At 42.1% G+C, this 21,991-nt stretch overlaps 1 protein-coding gene across 16 annotated transcripts in view, besides 1 other annotated feature; it reads right to left on the bottom strand.

Annotated features, from left to right (window-relative positions):
* VWA3B (von Willebrand factor A domain containing 3B) overlaps nucleotides 1–21,991 on the bottom strand; it is a 243,450-nt gene that overhangs the window by 42,007 nt on the left and 179,452 nt on the right. For 14 of the 16 annotated variants that reach the window (XR_922885.4, XR_922884.2, NM_144992.5 and 11 more), the window contains one exon: nucleotides 17,727–17,928. Coding sequence is in view for 13 of the 16 variants with exons in the window: in NM_144992.5 (NP_659429.4) it covers nucleotides 17,727–17,928 (202 nt within the window). In the remaining 3 variants the exon portion in view is untranslated. Of the gene's footprint in view, nucleotides 1–17,726; nucleotides 17,929–19,083; nucleotides 19,269–21,991 lie in introns of those variants that run through there. The other 2 variants (NR_144296.2, XM_017003564.2) reach the window with 2 other exon arrangements.
* Nucleotides 7,909–8,409: an enhancer, noted in NCBI's record as "H3K4me1 hESC enhancer chr2:98896664-98897164 (GRCh37/hg19 assembly coordinates)". NCBI's record gives its function as "activates a minimal SCP1, AML or CMV promoter by ChIP-STARR-seq in naive H9 embryonic stem cells {active_cell/tissue: H9 hESC(naive)}" and the evidence as "EXISTENCE:reporter gene assay evidence [ECO:0000049][PMID:30033119]".

Genomic DNA, 21,991 nt, shown 5'->3' with positions numbered 1-21,991 from the left:
TGATAAAAATTAATAATTAATCTGGAAATCTCACAGAGGAAAGAGAGGGAGAAGAGAATGTCTTTATTTTCTATATGAATGAATTAAAGTCCTGGACTACCCCTAAGGTACACATGTGCAGAAAACACTCAAAGCAGCACAGCAAAGGCTTTGAGAACTGAACTACAATGTAAACCATTGCCCAAGTCCCAGATTACCAGTATAAACCTTGAGTGATGTATGCAGACTTAAGCTGTGAATAGCACAGCCTTCTAAAACTGAACTGACATGGAAACTACTGCCCACAGATGGTAAGGCAGAGCTTGCAGTCTAAACCTAACCAAGTCTGATGGAAAAAAATTAAATCTCCTTCAGAGAATTTAAACAGGATCCAGAATCTTAAAACATAATATTCAAAATATTCAAAATGTCCATTATACAATAAAAAATTCAACAAACAAAAAAGCAAATATGACCAATTCTCAAGGTAAAAGGCAATCAATAGAGTCCCAAATTGGGAAGGCTCAGATATTGGAATGATCAGATCAAGACCTTGAATTAGCAATTATAACCATAGTCTATGAGGTAAAGGGTAAATACTCTTGAAATAAATGGCAAGGTAGTTTTTTGTTTCAGCAGAGAAATAGAAACTATTAAATTAAAATGGAAATTTTAGAAGTGAAATATATAATATCTGGAAGGACTCAGTAGCAGAAATGATAGAATTGATATAACAGAAGAAAAAGACCATGTACTCTAAGACAAAACAATAGAATGTATCCAATTGGAAGAACGCAGAGAAAAAGGATCTTTAAAAACGAACAAGGTCCTTTTCCTGTTGCAGATAATTTCTTCAAAGACCAGCTCAGTTATAACCTTTCTGGAACAATGTCACCCCCAGGAAATTTCAGAAAAAGAAAGGAAAAGATTGTTTTGTTATTTCCAAATGGCACTACATGAATCAAAGTTGGAGTAAATGTCATGGCTATGTCTACTACATGCAGAAACTATTAGCATCATTTTGACTTGTAAAGTCCAACTCTAAAGTTCCATTTTTTTATGCTTGATGACTGTTAACAGAAATATCCAATCCCCATTCATCTCTCCCTTCAAAATCCCCTGTAGCCTTCATTCCATCATCCAGAATAGTCATTATTTTTAATTCCCAATCAATTTGAGGACAAATGTTCTTGTAAAATATATTAAAATGAATTACTAGAAAAATGAAATAACATAGCAGAGAAAGAGCTTGAGTTCTAAGTAAAATCTATTTAAGGATTCTGAAAAGCAAACATGTAGTGGTAAAAGGGTCGGAAAAGAAGATAAGAACTCAAAGTACCACCAAGCTAGTGGTGGGTTTACCATTTGTTCTCTCCAGTGTCTCTTGGCGTGGTCCAAAACCCAGAAATAGGCACAAGGGTCCAGACAGAGAGAGCTCTAGGAGAATCCTAGAGTTCTAGCTTAATAAATGGAAAAAGGAAATCCTAACACTCAGAAAGAATACAAAAATTTTCCCCTCTTTTTATTCTCCATTCTCACACCTCAGTCACCAAGCAATCCTGTGGCAGTGCAGCAATGTTTTGAGCCTAAAACTCTAAAGGAGGCTAAATCTTCCTGTCTAATTAGTGGCATTGTGATTTTGAGAAGGTGGAGTGAAATCCCATTGTTCTCTCTCTCTCTCCCTTTCGCTCTCCACCCTCTGTTTGGCTCCAGATGCAAACACAATAAATAGAAGCCACTGAGCTGGGTATATATTAATAAACCCAGATTTCTGGCTGGAGAACTGAAAAGAGAAGCCATAGGGAACTAGAAATTACTAGGAAGATCATTGATATAGAAAAGAGAAGGGGAATCACTAACCCAACACCAAACCAGACAAATATATCACAAGAAAAGGACACTATAGACCTATATTCCCCATGAATGTAGACACAAAATCCATAAGAAAATATAGCAAATAAATCCAGTATTGTATAAGAAGGATTATATACAATGGCCAAGTCGGATTTGTCCCTGGAATGCAACACTGGTTTAACACCCATATTAATAGAACAAAAGATAACAATTAATGTAATATACCATATTAATAGGATAAAGGATAAAACCATATGGTTATTTCAATGCAAGGAGAAAGAGTATTTGACAAAATCCAACACCCTTTTATGATAAAAACTCAACAAACCAGGAATAGAAGAAAACATTCTCAATTTGAGAAAAGACATCTATGAAAAGCCTACAGTAAACATGATACCTAATTTAGAAAAACTAGATGACTTACCCTTAAGATCAGAAACAAAGTAAGGCACTCTCACCACTTCTATTCAACATTGTATTTGAGGTTCTAGCCAGTACAGTCAGGCATAAATAAATAAATAGGTGTCTCCAGATTGGAACAAGTAAAACTGTCTTTATTCATAAATGACATGATTCTGTATGTGAAAACTCCGGGGAAGTCACCCAAAAACTACTAGAATTAATTAACAAGTTCAGCAAGGTGTCATGTTACAAGATAAGTGTACTGAAAAAATCAACTGTATTTCTATGTATTAGCAATGAGCACTCTGAAAATGAAATTAAGAAAAAAATCATTTATAATAGCATCAAAAAAGAATATATTTAGGAATAAATTTATCAAAATAAGTGGAAGACTTATACACTCAAAACTAAAAAATATCATTGAGAGAAATCAAAGATCTAATAAGTAGAGTGACATACCATGTTCATGGATTGGAAGACTTGATATTATTAAGATAGTCATTTGTTCCTAAACTGATATATAGACATTATAATTTATATTAAAATCCCAGCAAGCTTTTTGTTTGCTTGTTTTTGGATTTTCTTTTTGTTGTTGTTGCAGAAATTGAGAAGTTGAATCTAAAATTTACATATAAATGCAGAGGACACAGATGACCCCCCAAAAAATGTTGAAAAAGAACAAATTTGGAGGACTTGCTTTTTTTTTTTTCTTTTGAAACTTCCTATACCTACAGTCATCAAGAAATTGTGGTACTGACATAGGATAGTGATATGGATTAGTGAAACAGTACTGAGTCCAGAAGTAAATCCTTATATTTATAGTCAATTGATTTTTGACACTTTGGAACAAAGTTTGGCAGTTTCTTAAAAAATTAAACAAACTTACCATCTGACCCGTCAAGAGAAATGAAAATTTCATTTCATATACCTCATCAAGAGAAATGAAAATTTATAACTATAAAAAGACCTGTATATGAGGATTCATATCAGCATTATTCATAATAATAAAAAAGTAGAAATAATTCAAATGTCCATTAACTGGGGAATGAATAAACAAAATGTGGTATATCCATACAATGGAATATTATCCAGCCGTTTATTTATAAAATGCATAGAAAAGGCAAATATATAGAGACAAATTGATTAGTGGTTATCCAGAGCTGAGAGTGTGAACAGAGAGTGACTGCAAATGGGCATGAGGGATCTTGTTAGGAGGAAGATAACGTTCTAAAACTGGATTGTAGTAGTAAGTTGAAAACTCTTGTCAATTTTATTAGAAGTCATTGAGTTGAAATAGGTAACCTTCATGAGGGTACAAATTATACTTCTACAAATCTTTTTTTTAAGGTAAAAATGTTTTTGGTTTGCTCTACATAACCACTCATAATATTTTGCATATACTGTAGTGGACTGAATGACTGAATGAGTACAGGAGCTTCCGAATCCATCTACAAATCAAAAGATAAACCACATAGGACTTTTTCTCCAAATTGCTACACTGCCGAAACTGGGGATTTTCCATCCTAGATTTTTACTCATTTCTTTTTTCTTTCTTAACCATAAACTTATTATAATTCTTGAGTCTCTTAAAGAAATTAGTCCTCCATCCCAATTGGAGTGCCTAGCAAAATAATTCTCAAGTGTCTCCTCTTTTCAGACCATCAAATGCTCTTCTTCTCCATGACACAAAGTCCAATATAAAGTGTTTGCCCAGACATTTTGATGCCACCTTTTTGCAGTGATATAGCTATATAGCTATAGCTATGTATTTGCCATGCTATAGTTATATCATAAATAAAATATTCAATGCATACTTTATGAGTTCATTTGCAGGCCTCCTCTTAAGAAAGTCTCTAATTTATGAGGCAGTTGGCTATAAAAATTTAAATAATTTCAGGCAGTCTGCACATCATTTGCTCTTGGGTTATTATTCATGTTCAATACAGTTTGGGTTCTGGAAATAAGTGGGCTCATTTCCATGGTGCCCTGATATGACTGGGTTCTGTTGTAGCCATCTATCATTTGGACCTGTTTGGAGATGCTTTTTAGGTTCATTAAAATAAGCGGAAATACGGTTTATAACCTCAGAGATGAAAACTTAAGAGCCACGTCCTCAGAAGTGGAGAATAAATAAGCTGAGGGGTTAAGGTCTCTTACAGGGACTGTGGGAAATCTTCAGACCTGCGTTGCTTGTAGCCTCTGCAGCCACGGACAAAAATGGATGGTGAACTATATTCTTTTGTTTACGATGCTCACATTTAGCCAAACTTTGCTTGGGTCCCTCCCTACTTGTGGAACTTGCACATTTGCTGAGGCAATCAGTACATCAAAGAGAATTCACCATCACTGGTGGGTGGTGAATGTCACCTGCTTATTCCTGAGCTTTCACCCAGAGGAGAAACCTAAGCATTCTTTCTAATGCAAGGTTCAAAATGGCCTACTGTGGCTTGAAATGACCTCAGAGGAAGGAGCTGGACTAGGAGGCAGGAGAAACAGGATTGGGTGCTGCCCACCTGGCTATGGGACTTTGGGCAATTGCTCAGCCTTCTTGGGCCTCAGTTTCTGCATATGCAAAGTAAGGCAACAAACTAAATAATCTCTACCACTTCCTAGTTCCCTATTTCTGTTTAGGAGGGGCTAATCTACACTCTTGGAGAAACTGTTAGGATGTATGTATAAGGCCAGGATGCAAGCCTGCTACCCTTGCTGGCAGTTCCCACAAGATGAGAGAAATGCACCAGCCACAACTGAGAACATGAGTAGCACAGTTTTTCCATCTTCATACTCCAGTGGGATGCCCAAGCACAGCTTCCTACAGTCATTTCTTCAATGGAAGACTGTGTAAAGTGTTCTAATAATGGATAGAATTTAGAGTCTTCAGAATCTGGAGCCTGCCATGCTAAATCAACTGTTACTTAAAAACCTCACTTTTCCATAAAGTTTAAAGCCTTTACGGAAAAGCCACCTTGCTTCAGGTCACCAGTGTTCATGTCAAAGACCAGCTGGCTGGGAGGATACTTTGGTCACTGAGACCACGAGACAGTCTCTCTGTCTCCAGACGAATAAAAACCTGATTCCGTAAAGATGTCCACATCGATTCTGGGAAGGCATTTCTCCCTCTTAGATTTCATTAGTATGAGAAGTCATTTCTTAGAACCTATGCCTAGATACATTTAAAGTTCCTTTTTAAAATTCTGAATGAGTAGAGTCACGTAATTTATTTAACTAGCCCTCTTTCGTCTCTAGATTCCAAATATTGATTCTCTCAATTTCTTAGCCAGAAGCTAACCGAGGAGATTGCTTTCTACATTTTCAGAATGGGTTTAAAGGTATAAATCTGGGAGGTGAGTTGCCTAAAATAATCAGATAACTCTTTTTTTCTATAGTTATCACTCACTTCCCAATTCTTCTGATAGAGAATAGCCATTCACTCTGTGAAGAGCTTCCCCCTGCCTGGGTGACAGTGAATGGTAGCAATGCTATGGCATTCATTCTTAGCACTGCAAATGACGCCTAAGAAAATGTCTTTCTAAATGGTTACAAGTATCACTCCCCTTCAAGTCATTCATACGCCTGTAAGTTCACTGGAAAGGACAAGGACAGATACTAAAGAACATTGTAAAAGTAATTCATGTTGGCTGTGAACGGTGACTCACACTTGTAATCCCAGCACTTTTGGTGGCTGAGGCGGGTGAATCCCTTGAGGCCAGGAGTTTGAGACCAGCCTGGCCAACATGGCAAAACCCTGTCTCTACTAAAAAAACACAAAAATTAGCTGGGTGTGGTGCCGTGCGCCTGTAATCCCAGCTACTCAGGAGGCGAGGCACAAGAATTACTTAAACCTGGAAGGCGGAAGTTGCAGTGAGCCGAGATCATACCACTGCACTCCAGCCTGGGTGATAGAGTGAGACTTTGTCTCAAAAAAAAAAAAAAAAAAAAAAAGTAATTCATGTTTACTCTGCTTTGTTTCCAACTGTTATTACTATTGGCAAGAATTCATTTCTGGTTGATTCCACAGCATGGGACTTTATGGAAGGAATTATTCACCATGGCCTACATGATGATTCATTTGCATCATGGCACAGTCAGTTGAACTATACCACAGATGAAGCACAATGGCCAGCTTCAGTATAATGGTTCATCCCACAGAAACAGAACATAGGCTTCCCAGGATGAAAAGACATCTCCCCAGGGCAGCTAGAGGTGCCATCCCTTCAGCCAGAATATTGACAACTTTGTTCCAGAAAGATGACATCCTGCTGGTTTTGAATTTTGCCAAAGACTTCGGGGTGCCGTACAGTTAACGTCAAAGAACGTCTCCCAACTCCATTTCTTTTCTGCCATACCTCGCCTATACATGCACACAAAATACATGCAAACTACCGAGGTCTAAAAAGAAACCCATGGGTGATGAAAGTCAGAGGGAATAGAGAGACAGCAGGAAAGGCTAGCTCTCAAACAAATAAGCCAACATATGTTTAGACTCAGGCACACAAGAATAGCCGCCCACCAGTTTCAGTGAGGAAGTCCCACGAGCAATGACACCAGCAGGAGGGATGCTGTGTGCTAAGTAATTTGATTTAGCCTTGTCTACAAAATTCAGATAATCCAATTCACCTCCTTGTCAGATTCAATCTCGGTGATATGGACGAGGGCCCCAAATGGTGTGACCCTCTTTTCATTTCGTGACTTAATTTCAAGGTCATGCTCTTGGACATGGTGGTGGAGATAGTGAAATGACTAAAGGTTTGATGCTTTAAAATTTTCCATGTAACAAGCAGCATACTTCTACACTAGGTACAGAACACATTTCTACAAATTAACTAGAACTAATCTTTGGCTCAAAATCTTGTTAAAAACACCCACTACTAAATACTTTTCCTGCCCTAAATCATTGAACTCCAGCATATACAATCCCCTAATTGTCGTAACAGCAGCTCCAACATGCTTCTTTGTCCACGTTTGTCCTTAAGGCCATGTAAAGTCTGTCACTGCTCTAATCAAAGGAATGTGTGTAGGTTCAGACAGGTGCTGACCTTTCCCCTTTCTAGGACACTTAATTAAAAGACCGGGACATTTGCAAACTGTCTCTGTGAATAATTCAACTCCCTTTAAAACCTTGGTGAACAGGACAGGGCTAACCTGAAGCGTTTGGGAACTCACTCTCTCCCCGCTCATTTAGATTTAGAGGGATTTCATCCACCCAGAAAGTATCCAGACTCTGCATCCCTTTGAAAAATGGACTGGAGAGAGAATGAGAAAAGAGCTTACAGGAAAATAGAAATCAGGAGTGGCAAACTCCTGCCCAGCATCTCCGGGGCGGGGAGCGAGTGGCCCATGGCAAACGAATTAGTGCCTTCCTTCCCAGGGCATTTGCACTTTAACAGAAGGCAAATATTGTGCTAAAGAAGTGAAGCTCTAAGTGGAATTTCCTGCATGAGCCCTGAAGAAGCAGCAAGGTCTTCTTGTGAGCTGCTATCAAGTACGGCACATCTGGGCGGGGGCTCAAGGGAAAGCTGGCAGTGCTGCCTGGCCGGCCAAGGCTTAAGGGGGTTTTGATCCCCTTCCTTTCCAGTAGTCTTAGGCACTTAGCCTTGCCTTAAAAACCAAAGGGATGTAGAGGAGTGCTTTGTGAGGTTTTCCCCCGCCTCCCCAGGGCATAGCATAACTCGTGAAAACACACAGCCAGTAACACGCATCCCAAAACCCCAGTGCAGTTTCCACCTCCCTCTCCAGGCGCTGCTTCCTGAGCCCGGCACAGGCCTGGTGAGCGGTCTGGCCTCAGCCTCATCCCAGCTGGTAGCGCTTTGTGCCGTGCGAATGGCTAAGAGGCACAAGAAACACTTCCACAGACAGATCCCCGAACCAGGAAACATTCCTTCCCCTCCCTGACCCCAGGGCAGCACCGGGGTGTGGAGAACAGTTAATCACCCTGAAAGCAAAACCTCCAGTCAAACATTAACAAATAGCTACCTCAAAGCTTTGCTGAAAATAAACTTGTGTGTTTTTTTTCTCTCTCTCTCTTTCTTTTCTTTGTGGCAGCAAAGGAATCTAATAAACATATACTATATTCCAAACAGAAAAACAAAAAAATCCAAAACTATTTCCCTATCTTGAAAGTAAACCTGCAACGTCATCTCAGGAAATATTCCCTTATTGCTCTTTTAGGAAAAAACACACAAACAAACAAAGAGAGAAAAATTTGAAGTGTGTTACATATTTATATCTGGAAATCACCAAAGCTTGGGATTTGTAATTTCGCGTTCCTGATACAGTTATTCATTTCCCGCTACTCCGGAGATGAACAAAAGCCACACTTGGGAGCCACTTTCGTGGCACTGCCTTGACGTATGAACCACTACCAGCCACCTACTTTACACAAACATCTCACACGAGACTGGTGTGCAAATGAATTCTGAGTCTTTAAGAAAACTTTTCAAGACATCCACTCCTCTGGGCTGGCTATTCCGCCCCCACTCACGCATCCCCCTTGCTCTCTGCCCTTCCTTGCCCTGCTCTGTACCCCCAGAGGCTGGCCCCCAGGGAACACACCACCCTATCTCCCTAATTTTTGCTGTCTTGAGGCACGCGCCAAGCTCAGAAGGCAGGAGGAAGCCGGGGTATTGGTGTCCTGCCCACTCCCTGCTCTTTCTCTCTAGGGCTCCAGGAACACGCTTTCCTTCCCTTGCCCCTTTAAGTCTGGGGATGATAACAGCTTCCTGCTATTGCTTGTCCTGGGGTCCTGCAATATCCCACGGACTGCCTTAGACTGACCTTCACTTCTGCAAAGAGTTCCTTCATTAACGTTTCTTCACTTGTGCTGAATGAATTGGATTCTGCTTCCTGAGTGGCCCCTGCTAAGCCCTCTACACTCCGTTTTCTTCCTCCAGACAGGGAGGGCAAATCTGTCCCCAGATCTGTTTAGGGTGCTTGGGTAGAATTCATGGTTGGGAACAAAGACAAATGTAGAGGCAGGAGAGTGCTGGCATCTGCCCAGCCGAATCTCCAGCGAGGAGGGTGCCTTTAGCTTCAGAATGAAAAGACAGCCTGGTTCTAAGTTTTTGTCACCTCAGGGATCCCCAGAGTTGACACCCACCTTCCCATTCCTGAACATCAGGACATGAGACAGAAGACTTCTTAGAAAATAGAGTTTGGGGATATTTTCCCCCTTCTTTCAGTTTCCTCCAGTGACTGGTGTTTCTGAGCAGGATTCTCTCCTTAAAGCCCCATCTAACCCCTAGATAAACGTGGCACAGTAATGAAGGGCTTCATTTTCTCTTTGTCATCCTCTCACTGCCTCTGGGATTTCAGCTTCACTCTGGCCACATGCCCTGGAGGCCCATCAGGGGTCCCACTTCCAGATGCTAAACCATCACTGCAGTGCTGTCTGAGGACGGCATGGTCTGAATGTGCACACATCACTTCTGTGTGATGGTAACATCACCAGTGCACACCCCAGACTTGTTAACTTCCTGCCCACTGATATGGACAGGAGGCAGGGAAATACTGGGTAGAAGGCAGCAGTCCCCAGTGAGGGCCCCACTCTCAAGCCTGGACCCACATTCCTGTTTTCCTTCTCGAATGTTGCCTTTTTCAAAACCACTCTGGCCCACACCACCCCCCCATCCTGTACCCATAAAAACTCCAGGCTCCACTGGCAGTGGAGTAGCAGAGATGGAGAAAAGAGAAGCAGCAGCCTGACGTCGTTGAGAAGCAGCTTGACTTCAGGGGGATGGCTTGATGGCGGGACCTCAGAGAAGAGTGTGGCCAGTGATGGCTGAACCCCAGGGGAAGACCACCTTCCCACTCCATCCCCTTTCTAGCTCTCCATCCTGCTGAGAGTCACTTTCATCAGCAATAAAATTCCCTGTATTTACCATCTTCAATTTGTTCGTGTGACCTGATTCTTCCTGCATGCTGAACAAGAGCTAGGGATACAGCGGGCTGTCACACCAAGGAGTTAAACACTTAGCCATCTGTGGACAGCAACACTAAAGGAGCACGGTAACACACGCCCTCTGGGGCTCCAGGGGTTGTGGGTACTCCTCTAGAAGCTGCCTTGGGGCCACACAGAGTTCTGCTCCTGCCGGCACCCAGAAGTACTCATCTTGGCCCCTGCACCCACTCACCTGCGTGCTCCCTCTCCCGAGAGGGGCTGAGAGCCACGGGCTGAGTAAACAAGCCACCCTCTTTGCAAGTCCCATGAAGGGGTCAGGGAAAATTTCCTGTCTCAACATCAGTAGATCTTGTTCCACTGGAGAACAGTTCACAGCCACTAGGGAGCTAGTCTTCCCAACAGACCTGAATATCAGCAAAACAGACTAAAGTTTTTACTAGTGGAATTGGAAAGGCCGACTAGTCAGTTAGGGTGTAATGCCTCACACCTCCCGTTAATGGACTGTAAAAAAAAAAAAGTTACAATTGAAGAATGACAATTGGTTCATTTACTATCTGGGACACAGATAACAGCCGTATATATTCTGAGTTTATTTTACATAACTGATAACTGAAAGACACTTTCCTCTGTCTCCCCAGCTAACATCTTCCTGCATGTATAGTGTCAAAGTCACAACCCAACAGAATGTTCTCAACAGCAAATGATCTCTTCTCTTCCTTCTCCTAATTCCACCTCATCCAGCCTCGCCCATGCCTGCCTCCCTGTGTGCATTTTCCTAACGCTCTCTTTCTCCCGGAGCAGAGCACTCAATTCCCCACCCCTGAAGGCCATAGGCTCCAGCTTCCTTGCCAGTCACGGCTTTGAGAAGGAAACGTGTGCAGCCAGTGGTGTGGGTAACTTTCCACGGCCTCCTTTAGAGCTGCTTTCAGCTTAAAAATATTTTCTACCTCCAGATTTTCCAAAGCAGTCAAGGTTATGGGTGAGAGAGCCTTTTTGATCTTTCTGGGCCAAAGGATTTGCCCTGGAGAACAATCTTTATTTATTCAGAAAATGTTGGAGGACAGCACAGCTGGGCTGCCCTAGACCAGGCTCCCAGGGAGGATTAATTATAATTCACAGATGCCCTCCGGCAACTTCCCCTATCGTTCAGCTCTGAGGGCTCTGGATTGGCTAGTGAGGGTGAAATCTGCAATCACAGTAACATGAGGGGTGCTAGGGAGGGGAGTTTTCAAAGGGAATTTAAAATTTCAGACTTAAGATTTCTCCTGTCATTATGTAGTCAGTGAGCCAAGTGGCCATCTCCAGGGACACCACGAAGCCTGTGGATTATGGACATAGGTGGAAACCATCATACAGTCAAGCATGGAATGTGCCCTGTGCAGGATGCCAGGCAGAGCAGGTGGGAATAACGGCTCTCACTTTAGGTCTCATCTGGGCCAGCCAGGAACTGCCCGTGGAAGCTGGAGCATAAAAAGCAGGCACAGGCTCCCTGGACACAGCATTTGCTGCCGTGTCTCCTTCCCACCGCTGGTTCTTACTGACAGAAAAATCATGAAGCTGCCCCAAACTTAGGAATCGGCAAGGCAGCTATGGGGCGGGGGAGGGCAACCCTGTTCCAGATGAGGGTATCAGAAAGCCCCGGTCATCCAGACTCCATAACGCACCCTGGAGCAGGCCAGATGCAGTGGCCACAGCCCTCTGGACACACATGGGCAGCCCATTCCAAATGCAATGGCCACAGCCCTCTGGACACACATGGGCAGCCCACTCCAAACGCAGTGGCCACAGCCCTCTGGACACACATGGGCAGCCCATTCCAAACGCAATGGCCACAGCCCTCTGGACACACGTGGGCAGCCCACTCCAAACGCAGTGGCCACAGCCCTCTGGACACACATGGGCAGCCCACTCTGAATGGTCTCATCCCCATTTTGCTGCTTGTTATCAGTCAGCTCATGGGGGTGCTTAATGATGAACAGAGGGGCTCTTTCATGGCAATTTATACTCATCCATCAAAAGCTTTGGCCTTTGCTAAAAGAATTTAAAATGAGACTGTATTTACATATAAATCAGGAAAAATGACTTGCATCTCTGATGCGTTTTTCACCCCAGGATCTCAGAAGGCCTTGAAACCTGGAGCTTCACACACCAAAGTTTGAGTCCTGTTAGTGGGTCACAAAATCGAATCTGCGGGGTGTGACAGTAATGGCATTTTGAAGTCTCAGAATCTATCACACATGGAAAGGAGAAGTATCATTGCAAGAAAACAACATTCAAAATCTTCCACTGCAGAGAGCCATGCCACGAGTGGAAAGATCTCTGAGGAGAAGTCACCAGATGTGACCTCTCCCCGTTACCTAGGGACATCTATGCTGGAACATCGGCGTTCCCCTAACAGACAAGGGTGGCTTTCGACAGCCTGTTGAGGGCAAGGCAGTGAGGGGACAGTCTTAGCCCCTGACCAAGAGGCAGCAGCAGACCCAGTGATGCCACTGCACAAACTAAATGCCTTCTCCTGCACTGGCTCACCTGATGTTCCCACCTTCTTTCTCCCTGCCTTCCCAGTGAAGATCTGGAAGAAAAAGTCTTCACTTCTTATACTAACTTCCTCCACTTCTACCCACCCTTCTACCCACTGCAAATTGGCCTTTGCCCCCACCATTCCACTGGCATTATTCTGGCCAACCTCACTAATGCACCTTCTCTTGGCAAGTCAAATGGCTTTCAGACATCATTCTGCATGTCTTTCCAAACCTCCTTGATAATAACTTTAGCAGTGGAAAGAGCCATCACTGATATGTTGTGTGCATTTACTGCTGAGCACCTGGTGCTGTGCACTCTCCCAGGTATGTGAAGTACGTGGTCTCACAACCATCTTTTAGTCCAGTGCTTTGATTTTTTTATTTGAAGTCAGGTGGACTGGAATGCAAATCTCAGCACTGCCATCTTCCAGCTGTGTGACGCTACTCAGGCCTTCTAAGCTGAGTTTCTGCCTCTTGTCCTTGGCTCTCTACCCCGGGCCTCATCCGCCTTGGTCCCTTCTACTCTCTCCTCCTCCTCTCCCAGCACCTGAAATTACCTCCAAATCTATCTCCTTAACTCTGGCCTCTCTCCTAAACTCCAGACATGTGGCTGTTTATTGGCCTCTCTCACCTGTGTGCCCCACGGGTATCTAAGAATCAAGAGCGCTGAAAGTGAACTACCTTTCCCTGAAAATCTGCTTTTCCTCTCACTGTGCCTCTTCTGTGTTTGTTCTTTCATTTATTCATTGAAATATGTATGCATGCCTACAAGGTGCCCACCACGATTCTAGGCTCTGGGAGCACCTACAGCACCACAAACCAAGTCCCACCCTTATTTCAGTGGGGAAGACAGACTGTAAACAAAAGTGTACATAATGTCAGGTAGTGAAGTGTGCTGCAAAATAAACAAACACGTGGCAGACGGTTAGAGGATGACATGTGATGGGATAGGCTGGCCAGGGTGCACCTGTCTCCCTGAGGAGCAGAGGAAGGATGGAAGGGGTAGCAGTGCTTCTGCTCCTACAGTTGTCCAAGGCAGAAGTTTTGTGAGCACCTTCAACTTTGCCCCACATGGCCTACTTTCCCATAACCCATGTCTCTGTTACCTGTTCTCTCCCCAGTGTTCCTACCTGGCTCAAGGACTCAACACCTCTCAAGGGGAGCGCTGCACCGGATTTTGGTCTTTTACGTTGGGCCTCAGCTCACTGTCAGAATAATCTTTCTAAAACACACATCCGTGAATGTCCTTGACTTGCTGAAAACCCCTCCCTGGTGTCCATTTCCTACAGGCATAAGTTCCTGACCCCAACAGAGTTCAAATACCTCGTTTTCTGGTACCTCCTCCCATGCCCAACGTCTCTCCTGCCACGTTCCCCAGGGAACACTCCGCGTTCTTCCCCACATCCCTGCCTGAGCCCAGGCTGTTTCTTTCACTCCAAACACTTCTCACAGCCCAGTCCCCAATTCCTAGGCATCCTTCTGGGCTAAACTGGATTAGTGAAGCCTTCCCTAACTGCCCAGTCAGGTCACTTTTCCCCATCTTCCATTGTTCTCTGGGGGTGCCTCTGTTGTATTTATAATACAGTGAAAGGCTGTAAGGGTTTGCATTTCACTCATTCAATACACATGGTTAAGTGGCCCCTGGGCACTGGGCTTCACTGTCAGTGCCATGGACACAGCTACAAATAAGGCCAGACCAGTTCTTGGCTCTCACAGCAGTGATGCTCTGGTGCAATGTCTCCTCCATTAGGCTGGGCCCATGCATTCAACACAGCTAACAAATCCCCATTTTGTGTCCAATATAAGGTATCCCCCTGGGAGATCCCAGGGAGACAGAAAAGAATGAGAGAGGCTACTCAACACCTGAGGGCACCTGTCCCATGTGCAGAATCCTATCCATGATTTTTGGATGAAGAAATTACGGGAATTATTTTTATTCCCATTTTGTGGTAAGAAAAGAAAGAAATAGAACAATTAATTCAATTAATTCGTATGTTGTAAACAATGAGCTTGATTGCCAGAATTCCAGATGAACTCAGTGGAACACAATTATCTCTGCTCTGAATCACAAGAGGCTTCTTTTCACTCCATTCGCAACACTTCCTATTTGCAAATTTAATATAAAGTATAGATAAAAGAATATGCCAGCAAATTCTGCTGTTATGCAGCAGGGTCTCCACAGCTCAACACCTGGGACTGGCCATGGTCTGTCATCCTCGTTCAAATTAGGATAGTCTAAGGACTAAGTCTGTTGTGTTCTAGGTACTCCCAGTGCTTCGAATAGTGCTTGGCATCTCATGGGCACTCATAAATGTTTCAATGAATAAGTGAAAGAGCAAGCAGACAGGGAAAAGCACAATGAGAAGAAGATCATCTTTTCAAGGAGAGGCAGGTAATTCACTCTTGGTCCTCTTGAGTCTTAGGTGCCCACAGGGCATGCAGGCGAGGAAGGTAAATCGACAGAGAAATGTCTGGGGGTGTCAGATGGTACTTCCCAAAGAAACACTGAATAATTCTTTGAGGAAGTCATTTTGTTTGAATAACATTACTAGACATATGACCTTCTGTGATAAAAATTTTACATTCTGCACAAAAGACATAGCTTTTGACACTGAAGAAAAAATGTGATTTGCAGAAGAAAGAATAAAATGAAAGAGAACAAACAAAACAAAATGAAACAAAACACAAGAATCTAGAGCATCAAAAAGAGAATTTTAAGCCAGGCTAAACCAGTATCACTTGGCAAAGACTGAACCAAAGATGATGAACCTGAAAGGTCAGATCTTTGGGAATGATTTTTAGACTATAATGTGGTGAACATCTGAAAATTATCTAGGATTTAGTAAGATTTTGGATGAACTATTCCAGATCTCTCTTAGTTCGTTTTGTGCTGCTGTGAGAATACCACCAACTGGGTAATTTATAATAGACAGAAACTTACTGGCTCACTGTTCTAGAAGCTGGGAGGTCCAAGATTAAGGGGCCAGCACCTGGTGAGGGCCATCTTGCTGCCCATAACCTGGCAAAAGGCATCACATGGGATAGAAAGAGTGTACAACAGAGATCCAAGCTCTTTAAAAAGGAATTCCTTTAATAAGGAATCCACTCCTGTGATAATGGCATTGGTCCATTTATGACCAGAGCCCTCATGGTCTAGCCAGCTTGTGGTATTATGGCATATATATATTTACATGGCATATATATATTTATATGGCATATAGATATACATTTCTTTTCTTCCATGATTCCTGGCTCATAACTCCTAACATCCTTGGGGTCTCTGAAGTACTGTTCTTTGTGTGTCTTTGTTGGGTAGGTTCAGGGTGGGGCTGGTCACCGGAAAGACCAAGGCAGGATTAGAGAGTTAAGACTTTCAGCGCCAACCCCCAACCTCCAGGAGGGGAGAGGGGCTGAAGGTAAGTTGATCACTAGAGCCGATGCTTTAATCGATCATCCCTAAGTAATGAGGCCTCCATAAGAACCCAAAAGGACAGGGTTTGGAGAGCTTACTGACAGCTGAACACATGGAGGCTCCTGGAGGGTGGCCCACCCAGGGAGAGCACTCAGGGAAAGGAGGCTCTGCACCCTTCCTGCATCGCTCACATGATGCATCTCTTCATCTGTATCCTTTGTAATATCCTTTATAATAAACTGCTAAACGTTGGTGTTTCCCAGAGTTCTGTGTGCCACTCACGCAAATTAATCAAACTCAAAGAGGGAGTTGTGGGAACCCCAACTTGAAGCGGGTCAGTCAGAAGTTCTGGAGGCCCAGACTTGTGACTGATGTGTTGGGAGGGCCAGTCTTGGGGACTGAGCCCTCAACCTGTGGGATCTGATGTCATCTCTAGGTAGGTAGTGTCAGAGTTGAATTGGAGGAGAACCAACCGGTGTCTGCCGCTTGGTATGTGTGGGGAAATCCCCCACACCTTTGGTCACAGAAGCCTTCTTCCCTGTTGATGATTGCTGTTGTGGTGCGAGAGCACCGGTTGAGAGAACTGTTTTTCCCACACACACCTCTTAAATGTCCCACCTCCAACACTGCTGCAAGGGAGATCAAGTTTCCAACACATGAACTCTGGGGGACACATTCAAACAAAGCACCGTCCACACACACCCATGTATAGTCAGAGAGTAGGTTTCACACTGGCCATGTGTATTTATAGACTCCAAATGTTTATACTCTTTGATCCAGAAATACTACTTCTAAGGCTGTATCTTAACAAAATAATTCAACTGTGCACCACAGTAGTCATGCAAATATTATGTGAGAAAGCAGAAAACTGGAAAATAACTATAAATGTTTAACATTTAGTGAAGAATCAAATAAACCAGGGTATACTCACACCATGGAATATTATGTAACCATCACCCATATGAATCTGACAATTCAATAAAAACACAGAGAAAGTCTATGAAATAATGCTAAATTTAAAAGCAGAATATACAATAATTATGGACACTCTGATTGCACCTATGTAGAAAACATTTGAGGAGAAAAAAAACTAAAAGGAAAGGCTCCCAAGTGGTAGCAATAAGGCAACCGGATTATAAATTATTTTTCTTTCTAGAAGGTTTGCCTTATTAATGATTATTAAAAAAAATTGCTAACACTTATGGGGAGCTTTCAATACTAAGCACTTCACATGTTCATTTCTCTTTATAACAACCCTATGAGATGGATACTATTAATACTCTTATTTTACAAGTAAGAAAACTGAGGTTTAAAGAGACTGAGTAACCAAAATCACACACAGGTTAGATGGTAGATCTGCGGCTAGTTCTTGGTCTGGCTCCTGTGAAAGTCCAGGCTTTTAATCACTACATTATACTTCTATTTAGCTTTTTTTTTTCAATTAAAAGACGTATTGTTTTAAAAATAAGTCCATAGTACAATCGAATGGCATTTCCTTTATGATGAAAAAAAGTACTGAGACCTTAACTGGATTGGCTCTAACACTTTTAGAAATCAGTGTGGCGGGGAGTGGGAGACAGAGAAGGAAGCCAATGTAGGAATGGCAATGACTTGGGATAGGCAGAGAGGGAGGAAAGACAGAGACCTCCAGGGCACCCACCTCTCCCGGGGCCTTGTTTGCATAATTCTTCTTGGCAGCCTCCTGGAGTTCCATGGCCTGCTGGATGTACATTTTCCCAGCTAGGATTTCACTTTCCAGCATCGACAGCTCTTTCAGTGAAATGGGCCAATTCAACCGTTCTAAAGCCTGGTTTAAAACTGTTTTGTTTTCCAAGTACTGTATTGGTTTGTTTGCATCTAACCTAAAAAACAAAGAAACAAACAAACAAACAGAGGAAGAAACAAAAAGCAAAGAAAATGACTATAATAAAAAAATATGGTAAGATGGTTTCCTAAGAAATTCTCCCCTGAGAAACATCTGTTGAAGCTAGTGTCAGGTGTCAGATGACAGCATCATAGCCATGCCCTCTGCTCTATCAGGACTTTGGTAGCTTGCAAAGGTTAGAAATAACCATCTCTGTGAATTATGGTAGGCACTTTTCCCTATTACCTCATTAGGTTATCTGATTTTAAAGAAGTATGATACACATAAAATTTTCAGCATTTTTTTTTCTCCGTATTTGGAGCCTGACATCTGGCAGAACCAAACATGGGCTTCAAAGAGATTTCACACAAGTATGCCTAGCAGTGACTCTGAAAAACAAAGCAAAGCAAAACAAACCCAAATATTTGCCTCAGTGCAGTAATTCTTATACTAGCTCATTTTAGCTATTTTTATCTTCTTTCCTCTTTGCAAGCCTAAATAAGTCTAAACTATTTGGCTTTGCTGTTTTGATACATAAAGAACAGAAGCCAAACTTTCTATGGCTGATAAGCAGGCGGTGGGACTCCAGGGGAAGCTAGTGTGGTGTGATGGCCCAGGTCCTGGATTCTGTTTCCAGTCTGAGCTGCTTCTGAGTCAGACACTGCTAGAATGGAATGGGTAGGGAGAAAGAAAACAATTCATGATTATCACTCTTATTGCTGAAAGCATCACTTATTTATTTAGATGTTGGATTTTGGAAGAGAACAGTCTAAACTCAGCACAATCACAGGACTCCATCCACAAACAAACTCGTACCCAGAAGACAGCAAAACATTCTTATTGGAATGATGTCAGCAAGATGGTGGAATAAAAACCCAGGCCCTCATTCCCCTACAGAGACACTGACTTAACAATATATGAACCAAATCGCCTTTGCGAGAATTCCAGAAACAAATGAAGAGGTTGTGGCACCTCAGACAAGTACAAACCCAAGAAAAGCTGCATGAAGGAGAGTAAGAAAGCTTGTTGCATTTTGCCTGCCCTAACCTCCCCTCCTCCCCAAAACAATGTGATGCAATTGGAAGAAAGCTCCCCAATCCTGGCTCCTCCTTTGGAGAAGAGAGTGGAATGCACATTCAAAATTCTTGTGTTTTGGGGGACTTCTGAAGAAATAGGTTTCCGTCTTGCCTGATTCAGAATGCTGATGAGAACAGTGGCATATTTTGCAGGTCAGGTTGGGACCTCTGAGAACAGAAATGAGTGTCACAGCTTGTTACAGCATTGGAGATACTGCAGTACTTCAGAGAGACACCAGGGGGAACAAGATATTACAGGCTCCTGAAAGAAACGGGCAAATCTTTTTCACTGGGAAATTACACACACAAGCCCAGAGAAGACACATCCCCAGAAAAGGTTTCAGAGAGTCCCCCAAATCTCTAGCTGGGATAATTGGTGAAGCCCTTCACCTGTAAGAGGCCAGTTTGTGAAAATCGGATGAGATAGCTGTTTTTTCAAATGTCATATTATCAACTAAATATCATAAGGCATAAAAAATGTAGGGAAAAGCACACAAAGATATGAGGAAATGGCCCAATCAAATGAGCAAAATAAATCTTTAGAAATTGGTCCCAAAGAAATGGAGATATATTCTTGACCAGTCCTGGTCATTTGCCCCCCTTCTTGTCTGTGGACCATGATAAGCCTGAGTAGTGACTTCAGAGCTGGGTAACATAGAAATTAAAGTGAAAAGACCTTTACGTGGAGAATTTGCATGCATAATATAGGAAGGTGTTCTTTAGGTATGTTACAGGATTACTTTAAACCATTTGACTTACGCTCCAAAGTAATGTTGGTAGTATAGCAAATTATGATGAATAGCTTTAATTGTATGTTTAAGAGTCTCATATGTTCACATGCTTAAATCTGGGTATCAGAATTTAAGCAATTCTTGAAATATATAGTCTCCTTAATATACTAATTACAAAGCAAAAAAAAAAAAAGGAATGGAGATATATTAATTACCTGAAAAATAATTCAAAACAACAATGTTAATGATGCTCAATGAGCTAAAAGAAAACAGAGACAACAAATACAACTCAGAAAAGTGATGCATGAACAAAATGAGAATATCAACAAAGAGACAGAAACTATAAAAAAGAACCAAATAGAAATTCTAGAGCTGAAGAATACAATAAGTGAATTGAAAAATTCACTAGAGGGGTTCAACAGCAGATGTGATTAAGCAGAAGAAAGAATCAGTGAACTTAAAGAATAGATTTTATTGATTTGCATATATTGAACCAGCCTTGCATCCCAGGGTTGAAGCCCACTTGATCATGGTGGATAAGCTTTTTGATGTGCTGCTGGATTCATTTTGCCAGTATTTTATTGAGGATTTTTGCATCAATGTTCATCAAGGATATTGGTCTAAAATTCTCTTTTTTTGTTGTGTCTCTGCCTGGCTTTGGTATCAGAATGATGCTGGCCTCATAAAATGAGTTAGGGAGGATTCCCTCTTTTTCTATTGATTGGAATAGTTTCAGAAGGAATGGTACCAGTTCCTCCTTGTACCTCTGGTAGAATTCGGCTGTGAATCCATCTGGTCCTGGACTCTTTTTGGTTGGTAAGCTATTGATTATTGCCACAATTTCAGATCCTGTTATTGGTCTACTCAGAGATTCAATTTCTTCCTGGTTTAGTCTTGGGAGAGTGTATGTGTCTAGGAATTTATCCATTTCTTCTAGATTTTCTAGTTTATTTGCGTAGAGGTGTTTGTAGTATTCTCTGATGGTAGTTTGTATTTCTGTGGGATTGGTGGTGATATCCCCCTTACCATTTTTTATTGCATCTATTTGATTCTTCTCTCTTTTTTTCTTTATTAGTCTTGCTAGTAGTCTATCAATTTTATTGATCCTTTCAAAAAACCAGCTCCTGGATCCATTAATTTTTTGAAGGGTTTTTTGTGTCTCTATTTCCTTCAGTTCTGCTCTGATTTTAGTTATTTCTTGCCTTCTGCTAGCTTTTGAATGTGTTTGCTCTTGCTTTTCTAGTTCTTTTAATTGTGATGTTAGGGTGTCAATTTTGGATCTTTCCTGCTCTCTCTTGTGGGCATTTAGTGCTATAAATTTCCCTCTACACACTGCTATGAATGCGTCCCAGAGATTCTGGTATGTTGTGTCTTTGTTCTCGTTGGTTTCAAAGAACATCTTTATTTCTGCCTTCATTTTGTTATGTACCCAGTAGTCATTCGGGAGCAGGTTGTTCAGTTTCCATGTAGTTGAGCGGTTTTGAGTGAGATGCAAGGCTGGTTCAATATATGCAAATCAATAAATGTAATCCAGCATATAAACAGAGCCAAAGACAAAAAACCACATGATTATCTCAATAGATGCAGAAAAAGCCTTTGACAAAATTCAACAACCCTTCATGCTAAAAACTCTCAATAAATTAGGTATTGATGGGACGTATCTCAAAATAATAAGAGCTATCTATGACAAACCCACAGCCAATATCATACTGAATGGGCAAAAACTGGAAGCATTCCCTTTGAAAACTGGCACAAGACAGGGATGCCCTCTCTCACCACTCCTATTCAACATAGTGTTGGAAGTTCTGGCCAGGGCAATCAGGTAGGAGAAAAAAATAAAGGGTATTCAATTAGGAAAAGAGGAAGTCAAATTGTCCCTGTTTGCAGACGACATGATTGTATATCTAGAAAACCCCATTGTCTCAGCCCAAAATCTCCTTAAGCTGATAAGCAACTTCAGCAAAGTCTCAGGATACAAAATCAATGTACAAAAACCACAAGCATTCTTATACACCAATAACAGACAAACAGAGAGCCAAATCATGAGTGAACTCCCATTCACAATTGCTTCAAAGAGAATAAAATACCTAGGAATCCAACTTACAAGGGATGTGAAGGACCTCTTCAAGGAGAACTACAAACCACTGCTCAAGGAAATAAAAGAGGATACAAACAAATGGAAGAACATTCCATGCTCATGGGTAGGAAGAATCAATATCGTGAAAATGGCCATACTGCCCAAGGTAATTTACAG

Source organism: Homo sapiens, chromosome 2 (assembly GCF_000001405.40).
Source record: "Homo sapiens chromosome 2, GRCh38.p14 Primary Assembly".
NCBI lineage: Eukaryota > Metazoa > Chordata > Mammalia > Primates > Hominidae > Homo > Homo sapiens.
This window is presented reverse-complemented; position numbering and strand designations above follow the sequence as displayed.